The sequence below is a fragment of the Homo sapiens genome, chromosome 5, assembly GCF_000001405.40.
Source record: "Homo sapiens chromosome 5, GRCh38.p14 Primary Assembly".
NCBI lineage: Eukaryota > Metazoa > Chordata > Mammalia > Primates > Hominidae > Homo > Homo sapiens.
Genome location: NC_000005.10, coordinates 113,029,995 through 113,050,093, shown reverse-complemented (window position 1 = coordinate 113,050,093; position 20,099 = coordinate 113,029,995). Strand labels below are relative to the sequence as shown.

The 20,099-nt window shown below is 46.7% G+C and overlaps 1 protein-coding gene across 2 annotated transcripts in view, besides 2 other annotated features; it reads left to right on the top strand.

Moving 5' to 3' along the window:
* MCC (MCC regulator of Wnt signaling pathway) overlaps window positions 1-20,099 on the top strand; it is a 466,348-nt gene that overhangs the window by 438,360 nt on the left and 7,889 nt on the right. For both annotated transcript variants that reach the window (NM_001085377.2, NM_002387.3), the window contains 2 exons: window positions 795-1,001; window positions 6,464-6,564. In NM_001085377.2, coding sequence (NP_001078846.2) covers window positions 795-1,001; window positions 6,464-6,564 — 308 coding nt within the window. The remainder of the gene's footprint in view (window positions 1-794; window positions 1,002-6,463; window positions 6,565-20,099) is intronic.
* Window positions 5,850-6,388: an enhancer, noted in NCBI's record as "H3K4me1 hESC enhancer chr5:112379403-112379941 (GRCh37/hg19 assembly coordinates)". NCBI's record gives its function as "activates a minimal SCP1, AML or CMV promoter by ChIP-STARR-seq in primed H9 embryonic stem cells {active_cell/tissue: H9 hESC(primed)}" and the evidence as "EXISTENCE:reporter gene assay evidence [ECO:0000049][PMID:30033119]".
* Window positions 15,263-15,821: an enhancer, noted in NCBI's record as "OCT4-NANOG hESC enhancer chr5:112369970-112370528 (GRCh37/hg19 assembly coordinates)". NCBI's record gives its function as "activates a minimal SCP1, AML or CMV promoter by ChIP-STARR-seq in naive and primed H9 embryonic stem cells {active_cell/tissue: H9 hESC(naive and primed)}" and the evidence as "EXISTENCE:reporter gene assay evidence [ECO:0000049][PMID:30033119]".

Below are 20,099 nucleotides of genomic sequence, written 5' to 3'. Positions count from 1 at the left end.
ATGAAATGAGCCACGTCATGTGAACACTTAGCACAGTGCCACGTGCTCAGTAAAGGCTACTGGCTGTCATTGTTACTGGCTCCTGGTCCCAGGATGGCACTGTCCTATTTTGGATTCACTTCGTATTCTCCACTCATCGCTCTCATTTGAGTTCTTAGGATACTTTTAGAAGTTGTCTGATGAGCAGTCACCTGTGAAGGATGCTGTTTCTATTGATTTCATTTGGGCCCTGAGAAGTAGGCAAGAGCTGGAGGTTGATGCTGCTGCAGGCATTCGCCGCATGCCTGGCCCAGCTACAGGGCAACAGAGGTGCCGTGGGTGTGATTAAACATGTGGTTGGTGCCATGGAAACCAAAATGGGAATTGGAAGGGGCTTGGCCAGAAGAGGCCTTCCATGGATAGGTGACTTTACAGCCTCTGGCAGGTGCAGCTCAGCCTCTGCAGACCAGAGAATGGGTTTCCATCAAGGCCCATGTGCCTGAGTGGGGGCTCTATTTGTTAGAAAGGTTTTCCCTATATTGAACCACAATCTTGCCTGTAACTTCTACCCTTCTGTCTCAGGTCTAGTCCATAGACTGACAAAGTGCATGGCCTTGTCCATACGTCATTCCTTTAGAAGTGTGGTGACAGGTGCCACGTCTCCTCCCACTCATCCTACTGCCAACTTCAAAGTGAGAACTCTACCATGGGCCTGTGGGTCATAGCCGGGGACCCCCCACCCACCCACTTGGCAGCAGCCAGGCCTGCTCTCAGATAGGGCATGCCTCATGTGCTCTGTGCTCCTTTGTCTGTAGGAGGAGATGGCCGAGTTGAAGGCCCAGCTCTACCTACTGGAGAAAGAGAAGAAGGCCCTGGAGCTGAAGCTGAGCACGCGGGAGGCCCAGGAGCAGGCCTACCTGGTGCACATTGAGCACCTGAAGTCCGAGGTGGAGGAGCAGAAGGAGCAGCGGATGCGATCCCTCAGCTCCACCAGCAGCGGCAGCAAAGACAAACCTGGCAAGGTAGGGCCGGAGTGGCTTGGGGACACCCTTAGGCTCAGTGACTGCCCAGTGACTGCCCAGTGACCACTGGCCACACCTCACCGCCCTGCTGCCTCAGTTCTTGTATTTGCATAGGAAATGCAGGCCATTCGTAGGTATCTAAGAAGGTGACATTTTGAGTGTAATGAAACCAGGTCTACATTTTAGAAATACCAAATCTCACTTTATGTAATAGTTGAACCTTTTCACATATCACAGTCACATCAGAGGGGTGATCTCTGCAGTTGTCCACTGATACTGTTCTCACCTCCTTCGTCTAATCCTCTGTCACACGGCAGCCCTCATTTGTTGGTTTATTGGTATAATAGGGCCCCCTTTATCCACAGGTGATATGATCCAAAATCCCCCATAGATGCCTGAAACCACAGGTAATACTGAACCCTTATATATTCTACGTTTTCCCCTATACATACATACCTGTGTTGAAGTTTAATTTATAAATTAGGCACAGTAAAAGATTAACAACTAATAAAATATTAATAGAACAATTATAACAATATGTCAGCATCATTAATGTTGCACTTTGGGGCTTTTATTACATGCCATAAGGGTTACTTGAACACAAGCAGTGTGACACTGATAGTTGATCTGATAATGGAGACAGCTACTAAATGACAGATGGGTGGGGAGTGTCTACACTGCGGCTATGCTGGCCTAAGGAATGATTCGCAACTCAGGTGGGATGGCGCAGGTCAGTGCAAGGTTTCATCACGCTGCTCAGAATGGTGCACAATTTAAAACTTACTGTTTATTTCTAGAATTTCCCATTTAATATTTTCAGACCATGGTTGACCTTGAGGAACCGAAACCACAGAAAGCAAAACTGCAGTTAAGGGGGAGCTACAGTACTTCTGTACCAATGACTGCATTTATTATCGCCCTTAAGTCTCACAGGTCTGAGGAAAGAATAGTTATCCCCATTTACATGAGAAAAATGAGGCTCAAAGAAGTGAGGAGTCTCACTGCTGATAAATGGTAGAATTGGGATTTAGCCCAGATCCACTAACGGGCTCTCTTCTCTCCACTGCATTTCCTCCTTGACTCCTTCCTGCTGGCGTTGCTACCGTCACAGGGTGGTAAGCAGGAATCAGCCTGCCGGCAGAGGAGGAGGAAGGAAGCCTTGGGTTACGAAGTCCACATCATCTGAAAGCAGGCTGTCTGGTGATAGAATTTTGCAAACTCACTCTTTTATCAGCCCCCAGGTGTTTTTTTTTTTTTCTGGAATCCAAGTTCATTCCATTATCCTGTATCTCAGAATTTTCCAAATACTGTGTTGGGAAAAAAACAACTGTGGACTCTAAAGAATTATATCCCTTGTCCAAGGGTCATCTATATTCTGTGCATCATATTTTTCTGTTCTTAATAAATGCAAGCTTCTCTTGACCCCCATTTGTTTCAGACCCAGGACTCGCAGACATATGCCAACTTGCTAGTCTAATAAGCTGCTTCTCATAGCATAAGTGCAGGATCGTCTCCAGGAGAGCCATATACCTGGGAAAGAAGGAACAGTACTGATGTCATGTGACAGTGAATTGTCACTCCCTACATAGTTAAGAACTCTGAAGCATGATTCACAAATGGCCACAGCTACACCCTTCTCCACCTCCCACTTGCTGAGGAGCCAAGACAAGACACAGCTGTGGCACCCAGCCAGGCCAGCCCTCCCAAGACCCTGGCTGCTTTTTATTCATCCATTCAGCTGATAAATGTGATTTGGCACTCACAGCGTGCCAGAACCAAGGCAGGGTGCTAGAGGCAGCTCTGTGGTAGACAGGCAGTCTGTCCTCTAGGAATTTACATTCTTAGGAGGAGACTGGTGGGCAAATGGGTGATCGCAGAGCAGTGAGAGAATGTCCCCAGTGCGAGGCTGAATTCTTAGCACCATGGGAGGACAGAAGCCAGACACAAATGTCCACTTGGGAGATTCAGGACAGGTTTTCTGGAAGAAATGAACTTCTGAGCTGAGCCCCAGTGGAAAGTGGGAGGTAGCCTGTTGAAGAGGGGCAGGTGGAGGGCCAGGGGAGAGAAGAGGTGCCCTTAGGCTGATGGGACAGCACGTTTAATGGCCCGGAGGGTTGTGGAGTTGATGCACTGGCTGGAGTTATCTTGAGGGCCGTGCGGAATCATGGAAGGGTCCTCAGCAAGAGATGATGTGATACAGTTTGGGCTTTAGAGAAGTCACTATGCCAAGTGCACTATGAAGCCATCTGCCCAAGGCTGGGGGAGGTGAGTCAGGCTGTGCAGGTGGGCATCAGCCATGCGGTACTGTATCTGGGTTCACATGGAAGTATCTGGGGCTCGGGAAGATGAGGTTCCATACAAACACCTTCAAAATCTCTCTCTTTTTTTTTTTTTTTTTTTTTTTTTTGCCTTTTGAGTTTGTTAGCAGTCAGTTAGAGACAGAGCGCTAGTGTTTGTGTGTGTTCTTGGGGTGTGGTAGGAATGGAGTTACCAGGTTCTTGCCAGAAGGCCCATGAACTGAGCATTTTCCCCTAGTTCCTGGTATTTATTTTGACTGGGTGAAATACTGTTATGTGGAGTGGCTTCAAAGTAAGGAAATTTGGCTGGACGTGGTGGCTGATACCTATAATCCCAGTACTTTGGGAACCCGAGGCGGGTGGATCACTTGAGGTCAGGAGTTCAAGACCAGCATCACCAACATGGTGAAACCCCATCTCTACTAAAAATACAAAAATTAGCCGGGCATGGTGGTGGCGCCTGTAATCCCAGCTACTCGGGAGGCTGCGGCACAAGAACTGCTTGAACCTGGGAGGCGGAAGTTGCAGTGACCCAAGGTCGTGCAGCCGCACCACAGCCTGGGCGACAGAGTCAGACTCTGTCTCAAAAAAAAAAAGTAAGAAAATTTATCCTATGGAAAAGGCCAGATGATTTTTTTTTAACACTACAGTAAGAACCTTTATAAGAGTATGTTGTGTTTTTCAGGTAATGAAATAAGCTGATTATCTTGCCTTTCAAATACTAGATCCATTTACTGTTGGAATAAAATCTCCCATCTGGGCTATTCATCTGGTCTTAGCTGTTGCTGGATGAGGCGAGCATCTAGAGAAGGGGTCAGCACTTTTCTGTGAAGGGTCACACAGTGAATGTTGTAGAGCTTGTGGGTCATTTGGGTGCAGCTGCAGCCACTCAGCTTTGCTATTGTCCAATGCTAGCGCAAAAGCAGAGGCAACAGGGAGACCAGTGGCCATGGCTGTGTTCTAGTAGCACTTTATTTAATTTTTTTTTTTTTTTTTGAGATGGAGTTTCACTCTTGTTGCCCAGGCTGGAGTGCAGTGGTGCGATCTCAGCTCACAGCAGCCTCCACCTACCAGGTTCAAGTGATTCTCCTGCCTCAGCCTCCCAATTATCTGGGACTACAGGTGTGCGCCACCATGCCTGGTTAATTTTGTATTTTTAGTAGAGATGAGTTTTCACCATGTTGGTCAGGCTGGTCTCAAACTCCTGACATCAAGTGATCTACCTGCCTTGGCCTCCCAAAGTGCTGAGATTACAGGCGTGAGCCACTGTGCCTGGCCTCTAGTAATACTTTATGTATGGATGCTGACATTTAAATTTCATATAATTTCTACCTGTCACAGAATACTCTTCTTTTGACTTTTTAAAATGATTTTAAAAATAGGAAAACCATTCTTATCCTGTGGGTCATAAAAAGCAGCTGGCGGGCCACATTTGAGTCTTGAACCTTTTTTCTTGCTCCACTGGGTGGGTGCTTATGCTTCTTTAAAAAGCTTCCCTCCAACTAGCACAGCTGGATTCCAAATCTTATCCAAGTTGCGTTAGGTTTTGAAATTCTCGTCTGTGTGCACCAGATACTGCCAAGTATATTCAGTGAGAGGCACCGTGAATGAGACAGAGCAGTCCCTGTCTTTAAGGAGTCTCACGAAATGTTAACATCAAATGGGAATGGATATACAAAAAGTGAGGGTATTGTGGGAATCTCAACAGATTCCAAGGGTGGACAGGGGACTTGGATCTCTGAGCGCAGGTAGGTGGAGAGGAGGTGGAAGGCGGCCCAGGTGGAGGGCATGGCAGAGGGAAGAGCACTCAAGTGTTGGCAGTGCCACTGCCAAGGAACTGCCTCGGGAGACCACATGCCTGGACTTGCAGCACTGAATTCGTGCCTCTCTGTAGCTCATATCTTATAAAATTTTCTGTTTATGGCCAGGTGCGGTGGCTCACGCCTGTGATCCCAGCACTTTGGGAGGCCAAGGTGGGTGGATTACCTGAGGTCAGGAGTTTGAGACCAGCCTGACCAACATGGAGAAACCCCGTCTCTACTAAAAATACAAAATTAGCCAGACGTGGTGGCACATGCCTGTAATCCCAGCTACTCGGGAGGCTGAGGTGGGAGAATCGCTTGAACCCAGGAGGCAGAAGTTGTAGTGAGCCAAGATCACGCCATTGCACTCCAGCCTGGGCAACGAGAGCAAAACTCCATCTCAAAAAACAAACAAAAAAATATCTGTTTACATTCCATCTCCTGCAACAGATCACAAGCTTTTTATTCTCAGGTCTGCAGCTTGGTAGCACTCATGTCCGTTGAGAGATCATCCGATGAATGCCTTCCCCCAGCCATGGTACTATGTAGTGTGGCTGCTGTCCTCTCTGTGCATGGAATGTAGAGCACTCAGGCATGGTCACTGCTTTGAATAGTCTTAACTATAGGATTTGGAGCACTGGCTCTTAAGTTTCCTCATCTGCAGGGTGGGATGATTTGCTTTAGATGATGTCAAGGTCCCTGTCTAATGCTAAGCCATGGGGTGGGCTGCACTTCTGTTTTCCTCCTCCTCTGCTGGGTTTTCTTGATGATTACACTGAACCCAGCAAGGCTCCTAAATCTAAAGGAGTTTGCTTTTCTCCCAAGGAGACGTGGGATGGGGCACCAAGGATATTCACAGGTATTTCTCACTTGTCTTGTATGATTACAAGAGGCTTTACCTAGCGGTCAAGAGATTGATCTGTGGCCACACAGCTTGGGTTTGAATCCTGGTTCCCCCATTTCCTAGCTGGTGACTGGGCCGCATAACTTCTCTGTGCCTTCATTCCCTCCTTGGTAAAATGGAGATAATGATAGTTCCTGCCTCAGAGAGTATTTGTGGAGATTAAATGATTGAATGCATATGGCATGCTTAGACCAGTGCCTGGCATCAGCGGCTGCTCAGAGCATACTGGGTGTCATCCCCACCGCACTGGCCAGTCTGCAAAAGGAGCCAGCGGTCTGGGAGCAGAGGGGCCTCTTTGGCTTGCTGCCAGGCTTTCCCCTTTGGCATGACCTGAGGGCGCCACCCGGTGCCCACACTGCTGCCATCACTGCACGAGCCACCTACCGCGCTCTGCTGCAGGCTTCCAGGGTGCTGCCGGCTTGGATTCAGGCCTAACTGGAATGTGTTTGCTGTTGTCAGGAGTGTGCTGATGCTGCCTCCCCAGCTCTGTCCCTAGCCGAACTCAGGACAACGTGCAGCGAGAATGAGCTGGCTGCGGAGTTCACCAACGCCATTCGTCGGTAAGCACCCTTTCCCCACCCCAGCTGGTGTTTATCCTGGGCATGGAGACTTTGTTCTGAGTTCTCTTTGCTGCTCCCAAAAGGAGAAGGTGCTGATGTGTTCCACTTTACCCATGTCTTGGAAGCCAGAAATGGAGAAGGCCTGTTGGTGCCAGGCCTTTCAAAACAGTGAGAAGAGAGAGCACTTAAGAGACAGCACTTAGGCAGTCATTGATTCATCAGTGAATAGGAAAATTCCTCTTCCTTTCCTTTTCTGTTATGTTGTTGCATTGGCTAGAAACTTCCGGGACAGTGTTAACTAGTGAGGTGAAAACAGGCACTCTTACCTTGTTTCCAACTTCAGCAGGAATACTTTCCTTCAGCGTTGGTAGTGTGAAAAAGCTTTGTGTATTTATTTAGTTCTGGGAAATTTTCCTCTATTATTTCAGTGTTTCTTTCCCCTCACCGCCCCCCAGTTCTTTATCTCCTCCTGCAAGGAGAAACAGATGCTGATTCATCTAGCTCTGTCTTCCGTATCTCCACTTTTCATACCTTCTTTCCATCACTGCTTTTTCCCCGGGTGCTACAGCAGCATTGTCCAGCAGAAATGTAATGTGAACCACATATGTACTTGTAAATTTTCTAGTAGCCACATTAAAAAGAACAAAGACAGCTGAAATTCCCTTTAATAACATTTTATTTAACATAATATGTCTACATTATTTTAACATATAGTCAATATTTTCTCAAACTATTAATGAAATTTTTTTTTAACCAAGTTTTCAAAACCTGGTATGTATTTTACACCTCAGCATATCTCAAATTCAGACATTTCAAGTTCTCAAGAGCCACATATGGTTGTGGCTGCCCTATCAGATAGTTGCAGTTCTGGAGAGACAGATTTTTTGGCTAAATTTTCCAGCTCACTAATTTATTCTTTAGTTAGGTTCATTGTGATGTTTGACCTATATGTTGAGTTATTTTGGTGATTAAATCTGTCATCTCTTTTTTAGTGATATGCATCTCTTTGAGGATTTTTATAATGCTTAAATTTTTTTTTTTTTTTTTTTTTTTTTGAGAGAGGGTCTCATTCTGTTGCCCAGGCTGGAGTGCAGTGACACAATCACAGCTCACTGCAGCCTCAATCTCCTGGGCTCAAGTGATCCTCCCACCCCAGCCTCCCAAGTAGCTAGGACCACAGGTGCATGCCCCCACACCTGGCTAATTTTTTTTTTTTTTTTTTTTGAGACAGGGTCTCCCTACGTTGCCCAGGCTGGTCTCAAACTCCTGGGCTCAAGTGATCTTCCCATCTTGGCCTCCCAAAATGTTGGGATTACAGGCATGCAGTGCCCTGCCCGGCCCTTAAATTCCTTCATCTTTTTTGTCTGCTGTATTAATTCTGTTTCTTCACATGTAATTCTTTTCATAGTTGAGTTTTGTGACTCTTTCTTGGTGTTTGCTTTCTTTAAATATTCAGCGGTTCTTGTTTGTGTGTTCATTCTTGTATTTTAAATTCCTAGGTCACCTGTTCGAGAGGTTTTGTTTTTGTTTTTTGAGACAGAGTCTCGCTCTGTCGCCCAGGCTGGAGTGCAGTGGTGCGATCTCGGCTCACTGCAATCTCGGTCTCCCAGGTTCAAACAATTCTCCTGCCTCAGCCTCCCAAGTTAGCTGGCACTACAGGCACACGCCACCACACCTGGCTAATTTTTTGTATTTTTAGTAGAGATGGGATTTCACCATGTTGGCCAGGCTGGTCTTGAACTCCTGACCTCATGTGATCCAACCGCCTTGGCCTCACAGTGTGCTCTGATTACAGGCATGAGCCACTGCACCCGGCCATCCCATTTGAGAGTCCTGCTTCTACTTATTACAGTCTGCCACCCAGAAAATGTAGCCAGGTCCTTCAAAGTGCTGTCAGCTGGGTCATATCAGAAGCTGTCTCCTGGGCTTTCTGTGTCTCCTGGCTAATAACAGCCCTCTAGTCTGCGTATCTGACCCAAGCATTTGGTCCCCTCCTGTTCTGGTAGCCAACACCTCTGGTTGGAGCACCTCTGAATCCCCTTCTTCCTTTTGCAGAATATTTTTCTGCATTCATTTTGCATTGTGGTTTTCTCTTCAGGAAGAAGAAAACATCTGCCTTTCATTTTTTATGATTGAGCATGATTTCTGATATACAAAGAGCACTCCTTTCTAAGATGCTCAGGGGTTTTAAAAAATGTCTTTCCTGCCATTTCTGGGGATTTAGGGTTGGAGGGGAAGGGTACAGTGTATTTTCAGTCAGCTCACTTGATCCAGCGGGCCTGTTTATAGGATGGCCTCCAAGCTGATGGTGGATGGAAGGTTGCCTTGTGGGGAACTTCACTACCTTCCTGATTTATTGTCACTTTTTGTCTTTCCTTCCAAGTTGTAATAGCTCTGTTTGTACTTTGCCAGAGCCTCTGGCCGTGCAGTTAAATGGCAGTTGCTCTGCTTGGGGCGGGAAGAGAAAAGCTGCGCAGAAAAATGCCCTCAACAAATCCTAATGACTTAACTGTGCCAGAAACACGGGATGGAAATCCCACTCGCTATTTCCAGTGGGAGCCATTTGGATATTGTATCTGTAAGCTAAGCCCTTAAGTTTTTCAAATTCCCCAAACCTCAGAGGCCTTTGCTGGCACAAGGAAGATGCAGATTGTGCTGACTAAACATAAAGAGACTTCATTTGTTCTGTCAGTCACAATGGATTTCCAATAACCAGCCTTAAGTTGGTTAGCATGGATTTCTAATCAAGACCCAGGTGGATGGAGCCAAGAACAAACTTACAGAGGTAAAGGAAAAAGGAAAATAACATAATGATACTGTAAATATAGCTTAGAAACTGGGGTCATCACTTCATGAGGGGATACAATATACACACCTCAGGGCTGCAGTTTGGGTTTGTATTATATACCTTGATGAAATGATTCCTGAGGTTTTTATTTTAAAAAATCAAATGGAAACGAACACCTTTTTTGAAGGTATTAAATCACAGCCGAGCTTATGGTTGAGGTCAGCTGGGGGAATCTTACCAGCATTTTCAGCAGTATTTCTCCCTTGAAAAAAGGATGGTGCCAGACACCAAAACTGTAGGCGCAGGCATCCAGACTGAAAAGATCAGGTGTCGCTAAGGGAAGAGGAAGAGGCTAAGCCATGGGCTGTCCTTAAGGAGAACCAGCCATCCCAGGGAAGGTGCCCTGTGACATTTCAGTCACTGGTTCTGGGTCATGACACTGTCCCCAACCCAACCTCCCCTTACCTGGCCAGCCCTTGTCACTCAGCCCTGGCTCTCTCAGTGTATCTTCTCCTAACTTTCTTCTGTTTGGAACAAAACCAAGGCTACATGCCACCCCGCCTTTACTGTATGTATAACTCCCATCTGGTCTGATTTCGTTCCCCCTACTTCGGTGAACATTTATTGCAGTTTGTTGGCTGTGGTATTGCCATAAAACCCCATCTGGATGACCAGGTTTCCAGTCTGGCACACGAGATGTTTTCTTAACAGGGTATTTTGTTTTCTCTCTTGTCCATCCAGCCTGTGTGCTGTAAAAACCTTCTCCATCTCAGATCTGTCTCTCACCCTTGGTCCTAGTAAAATTTGACTGATCTTTCCACCAAGTAAGTGATCTATAAAAAGGCAGCTAAATAAGGGAATTTTCAGAAATGACTCCTTTTTTGTACTCACATGGTGTTTGTGCAGCCCGCCCTCGGGACCCAAGCACAGCTGAGAGGAGCAGACTAGTTCATCTCCGTCATATTCTTGGGAGGCAGCCGGGAGCAGGTGCTGCTCTCCATGTGATCCTGGGGTGGGTTGGGGGGGGGGGCGCGGAGTGGGACGGCAAGGCTGAGTGATCTCTCAAGGTCACACAGTGAGGCAGTGGGGAAGTCTGCATGTTTCTACATTCTCTATGGGGACCCCTTGTGCCCCACATGTGCTGGCAGCATTGGGCTTGCTTGCCGATGAGTGAGCTGAGCCCACTCGTTTATCTGAAGACTACCTGCTGTGTGGCTGGTCTGGGCAGTGAGAAACCTCTATGCCTCCAGTAAACAGCCATGTCTTAGTCTGTCAGTGCGAAAGGCAAATGAGGTGCCATGGCGGGAGGCGGACTTCCTTAAACACACAGAGCTGTGAAGCAATGGCATATGTCAGCCTAAGTCATGCTGATAAAAAGGTAAGGATCTGAGTGAGCCAGGTGCTGTTGCATACACCTGGAGTTCCAGCTACTGGGGAGGCCAAGGCAGGAGCATCCCTGGAGGCCAGTTCAAATCCAGCCTGGGCAACATAGCGAGATCTCGTCTTTAAAAAATAAATAAGTAAAAAATATCTTTTTAAAGTAAGGATCTGTGCTTCCTCAGTGCTGGGAGGCAGGAAGTAGGTGCGCTGCTCCTCACCATGATACATCACCTGAGCCATGGTGAGGAGCAGAGCATGGTGCTGCCTCACAGGCACTCGCCTTTCACTCTACCCAGGAGCAGGGTGGGGCGAGCCTCACATACTACCTGCAGGAGTCAGCGCCCTGCCCTCCAGGAGGCTGCGGTCATTTAGTCACCGACCATCCAGGGGCTGTGCCCAGCCCTCCAGGGAACTGGAATATGCCATCTGTGTCTGCGTGTTTGCCAGATGGTTCTGTAAAATGCCACGTTAAGGCAATCGACAAATCACAGTGGCCGTTCTGTCCAGGGACAGGATGCCCCTGACTCATCCACCAGAAGAGGGCTTCCTTTCCCCTCTCTGCTGAATAAGAAGTAGGCAAGCTGCCACTGCTGGAAGACAGGGTTGTGTGCCAGAGCCCTGTAAGGATATATCCAGTGGCAGGAGGGCCTTGTCTGGTCAGTGTGATCGATCACACCTGCCGTGAGACTGCTCTTCCTCTTCTGCGCCTCTGGGGCTTCAGTCTTGCATCTGCTTTTGTCCTGGCCCCACCCAATGCCATTCCCCAAACATTCACATCAGGTGACTTACAGCTATCTGTAAAATGGATCCGGATGTTCCCATCCTCCACCTCCCAGCAGAAATGACACCCTCTCCCACTTCTTTTTTGGTTCCTAGCGCCATGAATTTCCTTCTCCCATGGAACATTTCATTGCTCATTTCTTAATATGCCTGGTTCTACCCCCAACTCCCCTCCTTAACCCTCAGTCCCCACACAGAAAGAGAGTCCTTTTAGGGCCAGGGATTGTGGTTTACTCAGCCAAGTACATGACTCCAACTCTCATGTCTTCAGCTGTTCCTTCTAAATGGTCCCTAAATTATCTCAACCTCATGCCCACTGGACATCTCCACCCAAATATGCTAAAGCCTCAAAACAGCACATCCAATACAATTCTGTTTCTTCCTGCCCTTTGATGAATTCCTATTTATGTTAAAAATCCCCTTCTCCTAATGATCCAGGATTATAACTTGTAAGTCTCCCCTCCCTACCTCTCGTCAGCAGGTCATAATTCCTTAAAATCCCTTCCATTCCTTTCCATCGCACTGACCCTCAGAACCCAGAGAGTAGTGTCCTAATGGGTCATTCTGTAGTTTGATTCTGCCGCCAGAATACCTTAAAACACACTTCGGATTAGGGTGCTCTGCATAAGCACCTTCAGTGCCTTGGCACTCAAGATTGTCCGTAGGTCCCTAACTTAACTTCCTAGCCCATATTTCAAATGTTTCCCCATGCTTGATCTGTAGTCCAGCCCCTCTGGACAATTCATCTTTCCAAGAGCACACCCTTTGCTTTATCCCTGATTCTCCCTCATCCTTTCCAATCAGAATGCTTACCATCTTGAAGCTTCCTTCAGTCACCTCCATCATGTATCTTCCCGCTATTCTCTGAGTCTTCTCTGGTACTTTTTTGAGACAGGGTCTCACTCTGTCATCCAGGCCGGAGTATAGTGGCACAATCACAGCTCTGTGCAGACTCAACCTCCCCAGGCTCAAGCAGTCCTCCCACCTAAGCCTCCCAAGTAGCTTGGACTACAGGTGCACACCACCACGCCTGGCTAATTTTTGTATTTTTAGTAGAGACAGGATTTCACCATGTTGCCCAGGCTGATCTCAAATTCCTAGGCTCAACTGATCCGCCCGCCTCAACCTCACAAAGTGCTGGGATTACGGGCATGAGCCACTGTGCCCGGCCCTGACTACTCTTTACCCATCAGTGGCCCACAGAGCCCTTGACTGTTACCAGTGCCTTCGAAAAAGCCAGCGAGACTCCTCAGAGTTCAAATCCATGTCCAAGTTCATACACCATCCACCCAACTGTAGAAAACTTCCAGACTTGTAGGAACCAACATTTGTCCCTGAATGGAAAAAGGATGACCCTAGTTGACCCCTATTTCAGCAGCTGTGGATGAATACTGTTTTTGAGCCACACAAAGAGTGGGATAAAATGAAAAGGGAAGTGGGTGGGGTGCTTTTTAAAAGGGAGCCCCCACTGAACAAATAAGCAGCAGAATCTTCACTGGTTCATGAGGAGGACCATTATTGTAAAAGGTGCTGTTTTATTTAAACTTGCTGATTCTTCATATTTGGTTGATGTATAAAAGCAATCAAGCAATGGAAGTTGTGCTTAGAATTCCATAAAAGCACATGGGTCTGCAGGACATTAATGGAATACAAAGTGTGCCTGTGGCTTCATTAGCACGCAAATAAACTGCTGAGCCCCAGAGCCAAGTGCCTAGAAGCACAGAGGGTGAAGACTGAGGCTCACTCAAGGGATGGAGGGGTTGTTGCTTGAGTAATTGAGATTTATTTTACTTTTTTGCCATCCCTCCAGCATCCCCAAAGCTCAAAGAGAAGAAGGCCTTGCCTGGGACCTCATAAAGGCAGAGTGGTAGAGGGCACTGGAACACCCAGCAGCCACTGGCAAGGCCTGTGAAAACTCCAGATGGATTTCCTGGACAAGAAACATGTTCATAGCAAAGTCTGGGCAAAAAAAAGTTAGACTGCTGTTGTCCTTGTGCTGCTACTCCTGGCAAAACACAGCCACCGACATACCTGCAGAACCTCATTATCTGGGGACACTTGAGCCTTAGTTCTGCAGGGCTGCACTGTTAAGCAGAGGTCTTGTTTATCTTGCACTCTACTGTATTCCCTTTGTGAATCACAGGCTACTACCCAGTGAGATGCGTAAGGGCACAGGCTCTGCAGACAGAATCCCAGGTGGGAGTCCCAGTTCTGCAGGGACTAATCTTAAGTTCCTCATCTATAGGCCAGGCGCGGTGGCTCACGCCTGTAATCCTAGTACTTTCGGAGGCCAAGGCAGGTGGATCACCTGAAATTAGGAATTCAAGACTGGCCTGGCCAACATGGTGAAACCCTGTCCCTACTAAAAATACAAAAATGAGCTGGGCATGGTGACAGGTGCCTATAATCCCAGCTACTCAGGAGGCTGAGGCAGGAGAATCACTTGAACCCTAGGGGTTGGAGGTTGTGTTGAGCCCAAGATCGCACCACTGCACTTCAGACCGGGCGAAAGAGTGAGACTCCATCTCAAAAAAAAAAAAAAAAAAAAAAAAAAAAAAAAAAAAAAAAAGTTCCTCATCCTTAAAAATGAGAATCATGATAGTACTGACTTCCAAGGTTATGTGGGAATGAAATGATGTTATCCTTATAAAGGACTTAGAGACAGCTGTTATCTGCTGCCTGGATTTTCTAAAAAATAAGTAAACATTGTGGTGATTACCATGAAGGAAACGGGATGATGTGATACAGTCACTGTGGAGATTTTTTTTCCAATAAAGTAACTTTAGTTTGCAATGAATAATATGAAGGAAATGGTAAGGCGTGGTGATGTCTTAGCTCTGGGACATGAGTTTAGATGGGTGGTCAGTCTAGGCCTCTCTGGGAGGTGACACTGAAGCTGAGATGAGGAGGAGAGAGGCAGAATCATATCCGGAAGAGGCCCTGGCTGTGCAGGGCTGTGTTGAGGACCTACAGGATTCCATCAGGGCAAGGGTGATTCCAGCAGCCCAAAGGCCCAGCAAGTAGCACTCAGGTCAAGCAGGGCCTTAGAGGTCCAGGCAAGACCACAGGGTTTATTCCACGTGTAGGTGAAAGGCAGTGAAGGACAGTAACATGATCAGATCTGTCATGTGAAATGTTACCTGGGCTGCTGTGTGAAAACCAGGGCAGAGGGATGCAGGGGAGGAGACAGAGAAACCAGTTAGCAGGCTGTTGTGGTTGTCCGGGTGAGAAGTGATGACCACTTGGACCTGGGTGTGGTGACAATGGCAGGATGAGACTTGGCAGATAGAGTTTGCTGTTGAACAGATGTCAAGGATGAGGGGAGGAGGAGTTAAGGCTTACTCCAAGTAACTTAAACTGCCTTTGCAAGAAGGCAGAGAGATCTGAGCCCAATGAGTGACTGGCTGAAAGGTGGTGCCATTAGCCAACACAGGAGAGAGAGTGGCTGTTGGAGGTCATCTGGGAAGTAATCCTCTGGACATGTGAAATCGCAGATGCCAGTTAAGAGGCCGCAAACAGACAAGTCCAGAGATCCAAGGAAAGGCCAGAAGATTAAGAGTGTGGAAGTTTTTAGGAAAAGGGAATGGAGGGAGTCCATTAGAGAAAAGGATAAGATAAAATACAGGCCAGGCCCAAGTCCTAAACAACACCCAGTATTTTGTCATGGAGTATAGAAAGGGAGCAGCCAATGAAGCAGAACGAAATCAGGCTCTGGAGGCCTTGTGCAAGCCATGAGCAAAGAGGCTGTCAGCCCTGCAGGTGATGCGGGCAGGTAAGAAAAGGACAGAAGGGACCAGACCGCTGGATGCAACAACTTGGAGCTCACTGGTGAGCTCAGTGATCCACGTCAGTGGAGACAGAGCCTGACGGGTTAAAAGTAAATGGAAGGTGAGGATGAGAGACATCACATATGCAGACAATTCTCTTAGTGACTAATTCCATATAATCAGCAATTACTAAGAAATTCTAGGCCTTGTGGCTGCATGGCTGTGACTCCCTGTGGTTTGGTCTGATTACAGCTCCTCTGAAAGGTTTCCTGGCCAGCTGTGAAGCCACTCACAGCCTCATTGAGACTGGGCTCTCGCCCGATGACTCCTGCAGCTCCTCAATTGGACTCTAATCACAGAGTACCGCTGCTGGCCTTTTTATTTTAGGGAGAATATAACCTCCTTACTGATGGCTCACGAAGCCGCACTGCCAGGCTACCCAGGTACACCAACAAGCACCACTTCCGAGGCTTGCTTCGCTCTGCCCAGCGTACTGGCAAGCCACCTTGGTTTTCATATTACCTTTAAATTCACACCACGAGGCTGCCTCTTAATTCCCTGTGTATATTCCACTGCCTTGAAACGTACCACATTACGTTTCAATTAAAAAGAATCCACCAGGTGGAGTTGCTCAGGCCTGTAATCTCAGCATTTTGGGAGGGCAAGGTGGGAGGACCACTAGAGCCCAGTAGTTTGCAACCAGCCTGGGCAACATAGTTAAGACCCTATCTCTACAAAAAAAAAAAAAAAAGTTTTAAAAATTAGCCCAGCATGGTGGCACACACCTGTAGTCCCAGCCACTCAGGAGGCTGAGGTGAGGGGATTGCTTGAGCCTGGGAGGTCGAGGCTGCAGTGAGCTGTGATTTGTGCCACTGTACTCCAGCCTGGATGACAGATCAAGACCCTGTCTCTTAAAAGTCCCACCCTGGCTCTGCGGTTAGAGTCATACGACCTTTTATCACCAGGAATAAGAAGCCCAAAAGCTGAAGTGGGAAGACGTGGAACTGAAATCCATGTGTGTACTGGGGGACTTCAGTTGTCACAGTCATTACAATCCAGCATTGTTTTTGCTTGATGCTATGGGGTATATTTGTGAGTGCCAATACTACTGGGCATAAAAAAGGAATGGATTATGTATTTCTGGCCATTCCAGGAAACACTGTATGAATACATTACTATTGAAGGTGCATATGGAACGTGTAGTGTTGAATTTTTGCTTTCTCATTTGTGTGAAGCCAAGAAAGCTTGTTTTGGCCTAACTTATGTACCCAAACCATATAAAATCTTAACGAAAGGCTAAGCAAATTTAAATTAGAAGGAGAAAGGAACAAGAATGGTTGAGGTTTCAATGTGACTTGAATTAGTAAGCTATGTTTCTTTGCATTTTCCATGTCATCGTTTGAAAATCTGAGGAAAACTGTAGACTTGATAAAGTGAGCCCCGTGCTTGCAATTTTGCATATAAATTCAGAAAGTCAGTTCCAGGAGTAACTGAAGCTCATCCTCAGGTCCAGGTGAGGAACTCTTCTGCCTTACGCCAGTCCCTCAAGCTTGCCTGATGACAAGAGTCAGCTGGGGCCCTTGTTAAACTGCAATTCCTGGGTCTCAACCGAAACCTACTTAGTCAGAAGCCAGGGAAAATATCTGGTAATGCTGTTACTGGAAAATATTACCGATCCAGACCCCAAGAGAGGGTTCTTGGATCTTGTGCAAGAAAGAATTCAGGGCAAGCCCACAGAGTAAAATGAAAGCAAGTTTATTAGGAAAGTAAAGGAAAAGAATGGCTACTCCATAGAGCAGCCTTGGGGGCTGCTGGTTGCCCATTTTTATGGTTACTTCTTGATAATATGCTAAACAAAGGGTGGATTATTCATACCTCCCCTTTTTAGACGTTATAGGGTAACTTCCTGATGTTGCCATGGCATTTGTAAACTGTTGTGGCGCTGGTGAGAGTGTAGCAGTGAGGACGATTAGAGGTCATTCTTGTGGCCGTCTTGGGTTTGCTGTTTTGGCTGGCTTCTTTACTGCAATGTTTTATCAGCAAGGTCTTTATGACCTGTATTTTGTGCTGACCTCCTATCTCATCCTGTGACTTAGAATGCCTTAACCATCTGGGAATGCAGCCCAGTAGGTCTTAGCCTCACTTTTACCTAACTCCTATTTAAGATGGAGTTGCTCTGGTTCACATGCCTCTGACAGCATTAAACAATTGGTCTAGAGCAGCACTGTCCACTGGTGATATAATATGATCCACAAATGCAAGGCATGTATGTAATTTTAAATTTTCTAGTAGTCCCATGAAAAAAGTAGAGACACACATGAAATTAATTTTAATAACAATGTAACCCAGTATGTCCAAAATATCTCAACATGTAATCAGTATCCTTTTTTTTTTTTTTTTTTTTTTGATACAGAGTTTCATTCTTGTTTCCCAGGTTGGAGCGCAGTGGCGCGATCTCGGCTTACTGCAACCTCCACCTCCCAGGTTCAAGCGATTCTCCTGCCTCAGGCTCCCAAGTAGCTGAGATTACAGGCAAGCGCCACCACACCCAGCTAATTTTGTATTTAGTAGAGACAGGGTTTCTCCATGTTGGTCAGGCTGGTCTTGAACTCCCGACATCAGGTGATCCGCCAGCCCCGGCCTACCAAAGTGCTGGGATTACAGGCGTGAGCCACAGCGCCCGGCCCCTGTAATCAGTATTTTTTAAACTAAATAGATATTTTACATTTTTTTGTGTTGTCATGAAAACAGATCAACCAACCCAAATTTTAGGTTTAAGTTTACAGTTTGGCCTCGTCTTTGCATCTTTAAATAAATGAGCATCATAGTTCTTTCCTGGGGTTTCTCCCAGCGGTTCACTCCCATTCCCTTCTGAAGGCCAGGCAGTTCTAAGCTCCCAGCAATGGCTACTCCCCACTCCTGCGCCACAACCCTAAGCTGGGGTTGGCCTGGGTCTGAGAGACTCTCTCCTGCCCTTCTGGGGTTCTATCCTCCTTTGGAGCCTGCCAGATCCAGAAAGTTCCCTCTGGTCCCCTGAGGGCCTGGGTGCTGGGGAAGGAAGCGTTTTGTCTTGTGGAAGGGCTGGGATTTCCAGTCTCCCTGTTCACTGAGTGTGGATAGGAGTGGGGGAGGGAGGGGATTTGACTGCTCTAGGTAGCATCCCAGAGTTTTTTGTTGTGAATTTCTTATTGAGTTTGTGGTTACATTTTTAACTCTTCAGTATTTTTTTTCCTTTTACACTATTAATCAACATTAGAATGAAAGATAAAGGGCTCTAAATGGTAATAAAATGTAGGGCAAAAAACCCTTCCCTGCTGTTTTTAGCTGGAGGGAAGCAGGAGTCCCTGGCTTCCCTCCGCTGGAGGAGGACTGCTGGGAAGGCCGAGGAGGTGTTGGGGGGCGGGTGGGGAGGAAAGGAGCCCCCCTCCTGCAACACCATCCTCACTGCTGGTAGGAAATGCTGCCACTCTCCAATGCCGGGAGGAAATGCAGCCAGATCCGAGATGTCCTGGAGGCTGCTAGGGCCCAGGAAAAACACACGCTCCTTCCAGCTTAGCAGAGGCGGGTAGGAGGATTTACTGAAAAATGAGTTCTGGGCTGAGGGCTGGTTGCTAGACTTCCCTTAAAGATCCTGCCCCTTCCATCCTCTCTCCCAAAAGCAGGCCTGGATTTTACGTTGTAATTCCTTTCTTCATTGATCAGTTTGGAGAGCTTGACTTACCCTCATAGTAGCTAAAGGCAGAAATGTAAAAGATTAGATATATGAAAAGCTAGGAAAGGAGAACCAGGGTCTGAACAGTTTGGGCAGCAGAAAGGAGCCTTCTACCCCGACGTCACATTCCCATGCCGTTCCTACATGACTCTAACTCGCACTTTACAGAAAATATACAAAATTGTAAAAATATCTGGCAATGCAAAAGTGAGTGAAGTAGAAAATGAAAGCCTCCCATCAACCCCCTTCAGGAGTTAAGCACTGTTGAGTTTGTGTTTCACCTTCTAGTCTTATTACAGTGTCAGATATTCACACTCAGCTTTTCAGTTTTTACAAAAATGGCATCTTTAGAACTCACCCTTTTTGCTTAATGTATCAGATATCCTCCCATGCCAGTGCATGGCCATCTGATTTTTTTGTTTGTTTTGAGATGGTCTCACTCCGTCACCCAAGCTGGAGTGCAGTGGCAGGATCATGGCTCACTGGTCTTGACCTCCTGGACTCAAGCGATCCTCCCAACTTAGCCTCCTGAGTAGCATGGACTACAGGCATGACCCACCATATCTGGCTAAGTTTTATATTTTTTTGTAGAGATGGGGTTTCACCATGTTGCCCAGGCTGGTCTTCAATTTCTGAGCTCAAGTAATCCACATTCCTTGGCCTCCTAAAGTGCTGAGATTACAGGCATGAGTCACTGCCCCCAGCCCTCCATCTGCATTTTAAAAATATTTTTCAAGCAGAGCATTTCGGTAGCATGGGTAGGCCGTGATTAACCAGTTCCCTGCTTGTCTCCCTTTATTAGGCATTATTGTAACCAATGCCTAAGTGAATCCAAATATAAGTGATGTATCTTTAGGAACCTGTGCTCCTGATATCTCTGTAAAATCAATTCCTAGAAGTGAAGTTGCTTAGTCAAGGGGCATGTTCATTTATTATTTTGCTAGATCCTACCCAACTGTCTTATAAATTAATCATGCAAATTTACATTCTACATACAGTGAGTCCTTTTTAAACGAATTCCTTCCCTAAATCCTGGTTTCTTAATATGCCCAAAGAATCAAATACATTACCTTCAGTAAGTTGTTCTAAAGCTGTTTTAACAGTCACT